The sequence below is a fragment of the Homo sapiens genome, chromosome 8 (genome assembly GCF_000001405.40).
Source record: "Homo sapiens chromosome 8, GRCh38.p14 Primary Assembly".
Classification (NCBI taxonomy): Eukaryota; Metazoa; Chordata; class Mammalia; order Primates; family Hominidae; genus Homo; species Homo sapiens.
Window position 1 is genome coordinate 62,249,236 of NC_000008.11, and position 12,737 is coordinate 62,261,972.

The 12,737-nt window shown below is 36.8% G+C and overlaps 1 protein-coding gene and 1 long non-coding RNA gene across 7 annotated transcripts in view; one reads left to right on the plus strand and one right to left on the minus strand.

Moving 5' to 3' along the window:
- Positions 1–9,494, minus strand: part of LOC124901952 (uncharacterized) — a 45,162-nt gene extending 35,668 nt beyond the window's left edge. Inside the window, exon 1 of the long non-coding RNA XR_007060932.1 lies at positions 222–9,494. This is a non-coding gene — a long non-coding RNA (uncharacterized LOC124901952). The remainder of the gene's footprint in view (positions 1–221) is intronic.
- Positions 1–12,737, plus strand: part of NKAIN3 (sodium/potassium transporting ATPase interacting 3) — a 750,799-nt gene that overhangs the window by 382 nt on the left and 737,680 nt on the right. The gene's annotated exons all lie outside the window — the stretch shown is intronic.

Consider the following 12,737-nt stretch of genomic DNA (forward strand, 5'->3'; position numbering starts at 1 on the left):
AGGGCGCTCCGCCCGCCTCCCACCCTCCCCACCGCCTGGCTGGGCTCGCACTGCTCTCCAGCCGCGGGCACTCGCCAGGTCGCCCCTGCCCTGCAGGAGGGCGCGGTCTCACCCCCGGTCCCATGCGCTGGGGTTCGCCGCGCTCCCGCCGGGCGTCGCCACGCGGTCCAGGGGCCAGGAGCCGGCGGAGTGAGGGATTTTCCCGCCCCTTGATCCGATACCTGGTTTAGCACCCTCCGCGTTCGTGCTGAAGTTACACGGGGACTTGCGGGCTCTTTCTTCTTAGGATGATTTCCAGGAATGTTGCTTAATTACACTGTGTGGGAATGCCCAGGTTCTGAGGAGACAGAAGCTGCCTCAACTCTGTTAGTGAAGAGTGAGGTGGTTCTAACCTTAAGCAGGTTGAAAAGTGATGGTTAAGGAGTCTGGGACCTCCAGGAAGGAGATCAGGCTGTGTGCTTCAGCCCCTGCCCTTCCAGTTCCGCTTTGGATTTTGTTGAAATGTTGCATGTTCAGGCGGCGACAGACTGACAGCTGTCATCAAGGAGAGAACAGAGTGAACCGGCTCCATTGGCGCGGTGCCTTGCAGAGGGAGTGTGTGTAATGGGAAGTTAGAAACTAGAGTGGGGAAAAAAGGCCCTTTCAGAGCAGAGCAAATGCTCCTCTTAATCCCTTTGGATCCTGGACTGGCTCTGTGGTCTATTCCATGGTCACTTGAGGTCAAGGCCACAGACCTTTTGAGTCAGACTTTTGTGTGTGAGAGATTAATAGACATCTCCCTTGCGTTATACTTCAGACAGATTCTGAGTGCTCTGCCAAGCTTTCTTCCAAGCATTGTATTTTTTTTCGAGTCACAAATATAAACTAGTATATTTTGACAAGTGAGAGGAAAAAGCTTGCAATGAACTTTACTTAGTAATGTCATCCCTTGCAAGACTTATTAACTGAGGGATAAAATCGTGCTTTTTAGTAGTTAGTCCTTGTTTACATGAAGGCTTTAGAATGTTTTCACTTTTCTCTTGCCTCAGTGTTCCAGTCTCCCATGAAAACCTCACTTTGGATGTGCCCTTCATTGTTCACATAATGCATGCATAATTTATGTATTCGTAGGTTTGAAATCAGTGACTTTTTAAGCCTATTGGATAGTGCCTTCTGTCTTGTGAAATACTTGAATCAAACATATTTTATAGTTTCTTGAAAAAAATTTTAAAAATTTAAAACAATATGAATGTTTTCTTTCACTAAGAAAAGAAGGCAGGAGCTTGATTTGTATTTTGGTTTTCAGAAATGGACATGGCTTATAAGTTGGAAAAACTGACTAAACATTGAGTCAACCCTTGATTCAATGTAAGATTATAGATAGGCATGCTGGATTGCATAATCTATAATGCCTAATTTCTATTTTACATGGAAATAACAAGTAAGGTTTTTATGTAGCAGATTTATCAATGCAATTATGATTTTCTTAACAGGCATTGTGATGATAATGTTTTTGAGATTTCATCCATCAGCCAAGCATGCCCCTTCTTTCCACTTTCTTAGTTGATACAAATGCAACTTATTTGTCAAAGCTTATCTTAAAATTCCATTTTTTAATGAAGTCTTCCTTGGTGCTCCAGGTAAAATCCCTTATATTCCTATAATCTCATAGCACTTCGCTTTTTCCTCTGTTATAAAACATTTGATACACTCTTAAATAATTTTAAGTTATTTACACATATTTCTCACCACTAGATTGTAAGCAACTTGAGGGTAGGGACCATAGTACTAGTGATCTTTACAAACTCTGCAAGTTCTTAGAGCTCATATTAGGAGCTGAAACATATTTGCTGAATTTTTGATAATACATAACATTTGCAATCCATACAGGACTTTGACATAAACATTTCTTTTGACTTTTAAAACTATCCTGTGAGGTAGATACTCATTTCATTTGTTTGCAGGTGAGGAAGTTGATATTCATAAACAGTTTTTCCATAATCAAGAGTTTTTGGATGGTAGAAATATTGGGGTGATGGTAAGCATTTAACAACTGGATTGTAAACAAAACAAATGTATATATTACATTATAATAGCATACAAGATAATCTTCTCTATGTAAAAGATGTGTAGCTCTCTGTTGACAAATGATAGCAATAGTAAAATATGTAATAGTCTTTAGTGTGAATTCCATACAGCCATTCAATTTTGGCAGAATCTTTTTGCTGAGTTTGAAAAACTCTTGGTTTTATAAATCTGACATGAATGCTGGTGAATATTTTTGTATGCTTTAAGAAAAAAGAGGAAAGTGAAAATTTGAAGAAAATATTCGAACTTTACTTCATCAATTACATGAAAAGATTCTTGGCTGAATTGGATAATAGTTTTTAAATACTTAAAAATTATTTCCTCAGTTTCTTTCATAGCTATTGACAATGTAATGTCTATAGACATGACACACTTTTAGGTTTAATATGCATTATTTAAAATATTTCTCCATTATTTAAAAAGCCTAGACAATCAACAAAACAGTAAGCAACCGCTGATTTGTGGGGTTTGCCAAATTCTTTGGTGTAAATACTCCCATCACGACCAATTTCAAGTATACTTTATATAGCATTTCCGTCATATACATAAGATAGGCCTAACCTCAAAAGCATTGGTAAAGTAAAACACAGCAAAATAATTAGGAAGGAATAACTGTTAACTATTCAGTACCTTGGTTTTTAGTAGGATTTCTTTAAATTTAAGTTTGCATAATTTAATTTTTAATAATGGCTGTATTTAACAACTGGCTCACAAAATTCCTAAAAATCTAACAAAACCAATTCTAACTCTGAGCCCGTATAAGCCTGCTTCAGCATATCATAGGATAGGGATCCCTGTTTCCTAGATCTGGTGCACTTTCTACTGAAACCAACTGTTTTTTTTTTGCTCTTTTATGTTTTTTTCTGCTTCCACCAACTGTCAGACAATGGAGATTATGAGGCAGTGAACTAGTGAGGGTGTTGAAAGGGGATGGCGTTGGGAGAACACATCTGCTGAAGACAATCTACATGCTCATGACTAAGGCTTAACTGGGAGGTCATCACATAGATGATACATTAGTTCCTCCTAAAAGTTAAAGAAACAAATAAAAGCTTTTCGTTATCTTATTCCCATTTTGTCTGAACTACTGTCTGGAGTGGGAAAATAAAAACTCAAATTGGGAAATTTACTTGGAGAAAACATATCCTTTTCAAGCTAGTATCTGTGGATGAGTTTCGGTTTGCAAAATCTCAGTCATTTTCTACTTTTTTCACTCCACTGCTCTGGCTGTCTTTCATCATTAGTTTTTCTCCAGGCTTCTGCCCTCAAGATGTTTGCCTCATGGTTTTCATTTGTGATCCTCCTGATTTTCCTAGATGAAATTAAAGAGAAAGTGAAAAGTATGAATACAGGCCCATCAAAAACGATGTGAAATAATTTTTTTTAAAGAAGTGATTCATTACTGTGTCACTGATTCATCTAGTCATCCAAGAGCCTTTAGTACATTTTTTTTGTAAGGATACTTTCAGTTTTGCTTGTTTTATAATACTGTATATACTTATCATTAGATATGTGTAATTTATACATAAAAAGAAGCACTTGATCATGTGCTTTTAGCACATTCTTTTCAGGTACCACATTTAAATAAACCTTAATTGCATGGTTTCAAAGTCTGACATGCCACATCTCATTTCAGAGCCATTTTCTGAGAGTAGCCTCAGTGAAGCACTGAACTAATTTTGGCAGGCATTGTTCCCACAGAGCTTTAGACATCTTCCCAACCTCACAGAGGTCGGACTCTGGCAAGTTCAATGTAACTTTGGCATGTTCAACACATCTTCGTCTCAGGATGTTATTATTACCCATGGACATTCATTGCACCTTTCATCACTTCAAGGTGAAATTCTTATTACTATTAGACCTAGGAATAAGGGAAACAAAACTCAAAACTCTCACCAGACATATCTGTGGTACCAGAAACCCTACAAGATTTAGAGAAAATAGGCAGCTTCTAACTCATAGATGTATATTTTTTATTGTAGAGAACATCTGACTGGGTACAGTGGCTTATGCCTGTAATCCTAGCACTTTGGGAAGCCAAGGTAGGAGGATTGCTTGAGTCCAGGAGTTCCAGATCAGTCTGGGCAACATAGCGAAACCTCATCTCTACAAAAAATTTTAGCCAGGTGTGGTGAGTTGTGCCTCTAGCCCCAGCTACTTGGGAAGCTGAGGTGGGAGGATTGCTTGAGCCCAGGAGATCAAGACTGCAGTGTACTATGATGCCACCACTCACTCCAACATGGGAGACAGAGTGACACTCTCTATCTAAAAAGAAAGAAATACATAAGTAAATAAATAAATAAATAGAGAACATTCTCTCAAAGAAAATCAGCATTTTTTCTCACAGTGGAAACGAAGTTTAGTTAACTTCCTTTCCATACCACATTCAAACCATCTGTGAGCAAAGCACCTATGACACTAGAATGCTGAGATAAATGTGTTAAGAGGTGTCTGTAGGGGGGTGGTGTAGCTGTGGTAACATGTTTTTAACTAAGCTCTATGAAAGGTGCAGCTCACCTGTCGTAGATATTGGACAGCGAATGCTGAAATATATTTCTTTTACTATGTATTTATACTGATACTTTGGCTTTGACATGGTTTTAATAGTTCTTTTCTTCTCCTCTGCACTATAATTATTAATCATTTTGTTTCCATTCTCTTTCTTTATTTCAATACCGTGGTTCATGCTATGAAACTTAAAGTTAGTGAAACTTAAAGGTTAGTGAAATTCAAATTTTGTCTACTAATGAGACTTGAGTTATACTGTGACTGGTATTGAAACCATTCTGCGTTGGCAAATACTGAAGGGTTACATCGTGAGTAACAAAATGAATTGTTGTGCTTGGGTATCGTGTGTGTGTGTGTGTGTGTGTGTGTGTGTGTGTGTGTGTGTGTGTGTAGGTCTAGCAGATGTGTTTGGATACATAAGGGTTCTGTTTTAGATACTTTAAGATTCTGAGACTTGAGGCCAAGTAGCTGTCAGGTACATGAGTGTGGAACCTAGAGGGCAAGCCTGGATTGCATATTTAGAATTAAGAATCATGAACAATATTGGTATTTAAAAAGCCCTGGATGAGATCACCTTGGGAGAGAGAGTACATAGTTGAGACTAGAACCGAAAATAGGACTTAATACAAGGTGAGTAGAGAACAAGGAGCCAGCAAAGGATACAGAAGAAGAGGTTGGAAAGAATCAACTTACTTTAAAAATAGGGCTGACATTTCAAGATAAAAGTAAAACAAAACACAAAAAACATAGAGCTGGAATCATTGGTAATAAAAAGGATATATGCCAATAAATAATTATTATCAAATTATATCTTTTGATTTTTTTTTCTGAGAGGTTAAGAGCAAAACTATCATTTTAATAAAAATACATGAATTGTCATACTTTTGTATTCTGTCCTAGGAAGCCAGGTCTGTGGAAGCAAAGTCAACATAAGCAGTGATTTCCGTGGCATGTAAATCATGGTACAGCAAGAGAGTCATTTTATTTAATAAGAATTAATTAACAAATAATTTTATTAAATGTTTAGTAAAGTACTAAGCAGTCATTTAAATTAGCGTTAACATTAATACAGTCAACATGGATTAGTTGTAATAAATGACATAGACCCTTCAGTTAACAGAGCATTTTGTTTTTATGAACAATTGAGTAAATAGCAGAACACTCTGACAGCAAACTGCTGAGAAGAGTGTTATGGGAAGAATTTCGTCCTCTAAAAAGATACATTGAAGTCCTAACTCCCCATACCTCAGAATGTGATTTTATTTGGAAATGTGGTTTTTATAGAGGTTATTAAGCTAAAATGAAGCCATTAATTTCTTATGACTGATGGCATTAAAACCAGGAAATTTGACACAAAGACAGAAAAGCACAGAGGAAAGACACTGGGAAGACACAGAGAGATAAAAATCACTCATTAAAAATAAAAATAAAAATCAGAATGGAAAACACGCAATTGGGACGCTTTGGGGAAAAGATGACAGACAAGATGTTACTGAGCTAGAGAGACAGTAGACCTTCCCTTTTTTCCAAGGTGCCACATGAAGACTGAGGATTGGAGTGAGCCAGGGATTGCTGGCAAACCCATGGAAGCCAGGGAGAGGCAAGGAGGGAGTCCCCTACAGGCTTCAGAGGGAGTAGGCCCAGCTGACACCTGGATTTTGGATTTCTAGCCTCCAGAACTATGAGATAAGTTGCTCCTCTTGTTTTAAGCCACTTGGTTGTGATACAAGGAAACCCTAGGAACTTAATACAGAAAGAGAGCTAGTCTGGAGTATGTTTTAAGGTAGAACAAACCTAGGTTTAATTAAAACCACTTAAATGGTGAAAGAAATGCTTATGTTCAATGTGCATGTGGATTTGGACTTACGGGTGGCAGAAGGTTGAGACCATGTCATGGCAGGAATAATTAGAGTCAAAGGGTTAAGTTCTCAGGCCAGCAGAGGCAATAGGCCAGGCCTGAGGACTCCTGGACAGTGCTGCCCTCATGGGAGTCTTTGGATCAGCAGTATCAGAATCACCCGGGGGAGCTTCTGAACAACAGTGGCTCAGGCTCACCAGGATCTATTGGATAGAAATATTTTGGAGAAGGGCTCAAGAGTCTCAAATTATTGAAAGCTCCTTGCATGATTCTGAGGTAGATCGAGGTTTGGGAACGTTTACTCAAATGAAGAGTTCCCTGGGTCAGAAGAACTTGAAGAGGAAAGACTGTGGATACTTCCTAAGGCTATTAGGAGCAAACCCAGTTTCTGAAGGTCAGTTGAGAGCCGAGTTAGCTGAGTTGCCACTCTAAATGTCCTTAGTTTTTAAGATTTTAGGACGGATACTGGGTGTGGTGCCTCATGCCTGTAATCCAGCACTGTGGGAGACTGAGGGGGGAGGATCACTTGAGGCCAGGAGTTTGGGACCTGCCTGGGCAACAAAGTGAGACCCTGTCTCTATAAAAAAAAAATTTAAAAAAAAATAACCAAACAGTAAGATGAATACTTGTAGTCCTGCCTCCTTGGAGATTGAGGTGGGAGGATTGCTTGAACTCAGGAGGTGAAGGCTGCAATGAGCTATGATCATGCCACTGCATTCCAGCGTGGGTGACAGAACAAGAATCTGTCTCTAAATAAATAAACAAACAAACAAATAAGTAAATAAAGTTTTAGAAGAGTTGCTTCTCTTATGGAAACTTAATGTCTATGATAGCATGGAATCATCCTAACAGGCTCTTCAAGGGCTGTGGTCTGTTATCAGAGGGAGTGTCGTGTTTCCCATCCTGAATAGGTCAGTCACTGAGACTGCCTGTCCTCTGCACATGTAGCATCTGGTGTATCTGCGGTAGGCTGTCTGCTCTTTTAGGTCGTAGGCTGGGTCAGGTTCAGAGCCTGGTCTGGAGAGGGAGTCCAGATAGAAGCCCCAGGAGGAAGTGGGTGAAGTGCTCCCTCACAGCCCCTCTTGACATTGCATCTATTTCTTTAGTCCAGGACAGTAAAGATCACTTTGCTTTTATAAAAGTGCCTCAGGGCTCATACTGCATGGTTTCAAGGTTTACTTGAAGTAAATGGTTTCAACATTCCTTCTAGAGGACACACTAAAATGGTTTTAGACCATATTTGTGAGGCTGACGAATGTTCCTGTTTCTCTACTTTACAAACCAAATTTCTTATTTTTATTTTTAATTGGCAAATAATAATAGTATATACTTATGAGGTAATTTGATGTTTTGATATATGCATAAAATGTGGAATAAAAAAACAAGCTAATTAACACATTCATCACCTCACGTATCATTTTTTTGTGGCAAGACATTTGAAATTTACTCCCTTGGCAATTTTGAAATATACAATACAGTATTATTAACTATAGTCACTATGCTGTGTAATAGATCTCAAACTAGAGTCCTTATGTTTGTAACCCTGATCAGCATTGGTTTGAATATGTCCTTCTAATAAGTATTCATAAGAAAGTTCTGCAATTCTCATGACTTAAGCCTCCCTGACATATAACTATGAAATTTATAACATCCATCAGACCTTTTCTCTCTTAAGCTTCAGTTACTTATTTCACCTTTTGTTTTATTAACTAATACTTCATATTCTTTACGCTGAAACCTAATTTGTTTTTAATTCTTTAGGTTGAAACCTCCTTTCCCAAATTCCCCCTTTAGCTTGCTTGCCCTGCCAAGAGATGTATTGAATTCATTTTCTACAATGCCTGATTAATCTTCCTTAAGTGGAAACTTCATCCTGTCACTCCTCTTCAAAAAAAATAATGTCTCTGTAAGCTGCCATTTAATGCCTTACCAAAATAGAATTATTTCCTACTTCTCCAGGTCTGCATCCTCAGTTCCATAGGGACAGATTTCTATTTCATGAACAACACATATTCATACCCTTGAACATATGTAGTTCAGGCTTCTTGAAGCAAATTTCAAGGTTGTAAAACTAAGAAAATGGAGATGAACAAAATTCACTGAAATAGAAAGAAGTATTTATATATACCTGTAGTTATTATTCTTTATAAAATAATGAATTGCTTTTGTTTTTTTCAAATTATATTCTCCATTTTAATCAAATCATTTTCATTCCGGTTACTTACATATAGATTTTTGTTTTGCCTAGTCCTTTATTTTCCTTAGGAGAATAATCTATATCATAAGATTTTGGGAAATAAATTGTTTTCTATCCCCAGAACATCAATAGTCTTTGCTTTTAAAACATGAACTACTTATTTTATTTTATTTTATTTTATTTTTTTACCTTTCTCTCACAAATTGTACCTGTGTTGTAGCAATGTATGTTTTCAGTCTCTAGGATTGGAACAGTTATCCAGATTATATAAGAAAGGAATTTCAAATATTGTATGCTTAAAAAATGAGCCAATAGTACTTAATATTTTGGCATTAGGACAAGATACACATTAATAAAAACATTGCATGGTTTCTTTGCAGAAGTTTTGATGAGTGATCAGGAAAATGAACAAATCTACATGTGCATACTTGAACTATTTCCTTAGGCATTTGTTTTCATCAGGTGAAGATGAAATGCCTCTTGCTTAAAGAATCAGATTGGCTGGGCATAGTGTCTCAGACCTGTAATCCCCAAACTTTGAGAGGCTGAGGTGGGAGGATCCCTTGAGCCCAGGAGTTCCAGACCAGCCCTGGAAAGACAGGGAGAACCCCTCTCTCCAAAAAAAGGAAACAAAAATAAAATATAGATGGTTGTGGTGGTCTGTGCCTGTAGTCCCAACTACTTGAGAGGCTGAGGTGGGAGGAGGTTCAGTTGAGCCCAGGAGTTCGAGGCTGCAGTGAGCCTTAATGGTGCCACTGCACTCTGGCCTTGGGGACAGAGTGAGACACTGTCTAAAAAAGAAAAAAAGAAAAAAAGAATAAGGTTTACAAGCACTTAATACAAATCATTCGTTAAAAATAAAAATAAAAATCAGAATGGAAAACACAATATTGGGATGCTTTGGGAAAAAGATGACTGACAAGATGTTACTGAGCTAGAGAGACATAGACCTTCCCTTTTTTCCAAGGCCCCAGTATCTGGATGAAACCAAAATAGTGTGAGGAAGAAAACTGGAGCAAACAGCAGATCAGCAACAATGAAGAATCCAGGAGACAAGCAGAGTGTATTTGGCCCAAGGCCTTAATATTAGTTTGTGCACTCTGTACACTGCACAAAGGTGTTCATGTGTTACACAGAAATTCAGCACTTGCTCTGCTTGCATGAAGGGTATGGTGGGCATAGTGCTGGAGTATTGGTGCCTTTTGGCTTTACATGTTGAGAGTTGGCTGATTAATAACATTGTGCAGATGATATGCAATGGGAGAATAAATATATTACTTATTTTTAAAATAAAGCTGATTAATGTGGAAGTTAAGATTTATAGTATTTTGGACAACAATGAGAAGTTAAAAAGAAAACCACAAATTATTCTTTATTGCTTATTTTGATTTTCTTATAATACTTTCTATGTTGCACTTTTCAGTAACATTAATTTTGAAAAAGAGGAGAGATTTTCCAATTAGTGGATGCTTTGAGGTCAATTTTAGGAAGACTATTTGGCAAATACTTGATAAGGTTATATTTGGTATAGCTTCTTTCTTAGGTGCATCAAAAATTCATGCTTTTAATCCCCATTAAAACTAATTAGTGTTAATGTGTGTGAACATGCATCTACAGCAGAATAGAATATTAGACTAAAATACTTCATCAATGATTAGTATTCCAAATGCCAGTTAAATGGTAGTACAAGCAAATGACATATAGCACAAACTATCTAATTTACATTTTTAATGTGATATGTTTTGCAAAGATATTGAAATAAAATGGAAGGTAGGCTATGAATGCCCTGTAATGGAACATTCTTACCTTAGGTCTTGATAGAGTATAGGAGAATAGATATTTTAAGATGAGCATAGTTATAAACAAAAAAAATCAGATGAAGGCGTTGACTTAAGTTGGAGAATGTGAAACACTTGAACTGGTAGGTTGCTGTTCTGTTTGACACTGGTAAGAGCATCTGCAGTTCATTGAACTGGAGGAGAAACATTTATCCATTGGTAAAAGGAGACGAAGGTGAAGGTGGGTGGGCGGCAGGAGTTGGAGTACTGACAAGGGCTCTAATTGCAAGAATTAGATAGCTTATTGTTAAGGGAAGCAAGATCTTGGCAGTGTTAATGATATTATTCATTTTTTAGATTTTTTTCTTTCATTTTTTGCATAGAGTAGCATTCTTTAGAATGCTCTGTTCCTTTATTAACAAGAAGTATTGAAAGAGGATTTTAGTGATCAGTTTCTCGTAAGAGATATGAGCTCAACAGGGGTGACGATAAGTCATAAATATATTTCTGAAAGTTTCTATTCCAGTAATGAGAGACACAGTAATAATTTGGTATTGATTAATATCTAGTATAATAAGAGTTTGCATGTGGGAAGCCATAGGCTACAGATGTTGATTGGTTTAATTGGTTAATTAAGGTACAAACAGGAATGCTCTACACTCAAGTTATATTTCCTGTGCTGGTAACTAGCTGTAAATGATCATAATTAAGACAATGGGATATATAAATTGTTGTTAATGATAATTCTTTACCAAATTTGTATTTAAAATATAAATTCTTGATGAAGTTCTTTCAAATTATAGTTTATGAAAAGTAACATTTCTTAGCTTCAAAAGGTCCTCAAGAAATCATCTAGAGCCATTGTTCGCTCCAAAGCAGTTATGTGTGTGATGCTTCAATACTGAAGCCTCTTCTGTTGAATCTTAAATGTCTCTGAGAATGTAAAACTTGCTTTGATTTCCATTCTGTCTTCTATTCATTTGCTTTATATCTGGATGGTGAACGGCCGATGCAGGCAGTCATGGGCTGGAGCTGACTCATACCAACTGGGGATAGCTTCCTGGTGGGTTTCCAGGAATCATGTGAGCCAGTTGTTAAATACAGCTTTATTAAACATTAACTATATAAACTTATAATTAAATTATATTAAAAACAAAAGTATACATATTTAAAAGTCAACACTTTCTAATGATTTTATTGCAATATACTGTTATCTCTGCTCTGGGGGTTATTTTACATCTACACGGTACGTATTTTACATACAGTTTGTATGGTGGAAATTCTGTATAACAGAGGATTATCTATTGAGTATCTCTTCCCAATTGTACATCCAGTGACATCATATTGGTAGCTAAAATTTTTTTATGAAGTGTTTATATCATAGAAATATCATTCTTAAGCTCCCCAGGCCAGTTGTTAAATTATTTACTAGCATATCACCAGGCAGGGGCTTTCTTCATAAGGCCAGTTTTTTTCCTTGTACCAAATTGGAACTGATTCATAAGCTTTTAATGTAACTAATTAATGCATGTATAGAAAGTATATTTTATAACCTAAGTGTTTTATTTATTGCTTTGAATACGTCTGTAAAATTGTTTAAACATAATAGAGAAGTTTTTATTTTCAAAAAATTACAATATTAAATCCTTTGGTTTTAATAATAGCTTTTGGATCTCCCTAAAGTGTTCATGCACATTGCATAACTGATTTGTTGGTAACTGATCTGTGGCTAAATGATTCAGAACTGATAATGGGTTATAGGTTGCACTTCTAGGTGAGTGACTAGAATCTAGAATCTCTCACTATGAGGGAAAGTTATTTCTGCTTAATGAGTGTTGATTAGTTCCCATGAGGAAAGCTGGACTTACTCCAACACCCAGTTCTTCCACCTGTTGGCATCATTGGTCCTAATTAGCTTCTTCCACAAGGATGTCAAGTAATCAATGGTGAAATGATTGAAATACCTTTTGACACCCACATCTGGTTCTTCCAGGCTGGGATAATCTGCATTTTCCATTGTCCCCACATCAAAATACTAAATATTCTATCTTGAAGAAGGCTTCAGGAAGGTGATTTATTTGTGAGCACACCAAAACTTATTTAGCTCATAAAATTTCTTTTCTAATTATTTTAAAAAGCAATCATTGTTACAATGCGGAACAAAATCCTCTTGTGCTTCAAATTCCATTGTATCATTCTTATTTTCATGAGGCAGATATTAATATATTCTCTTTCACAGATGAGAAAACTGAAATGTGGGAAAATTAAGGAGTATGTTGAAATTATATGTTATGCTATTGCTTAAAGCATGAGAAATGTAGAAATGCAG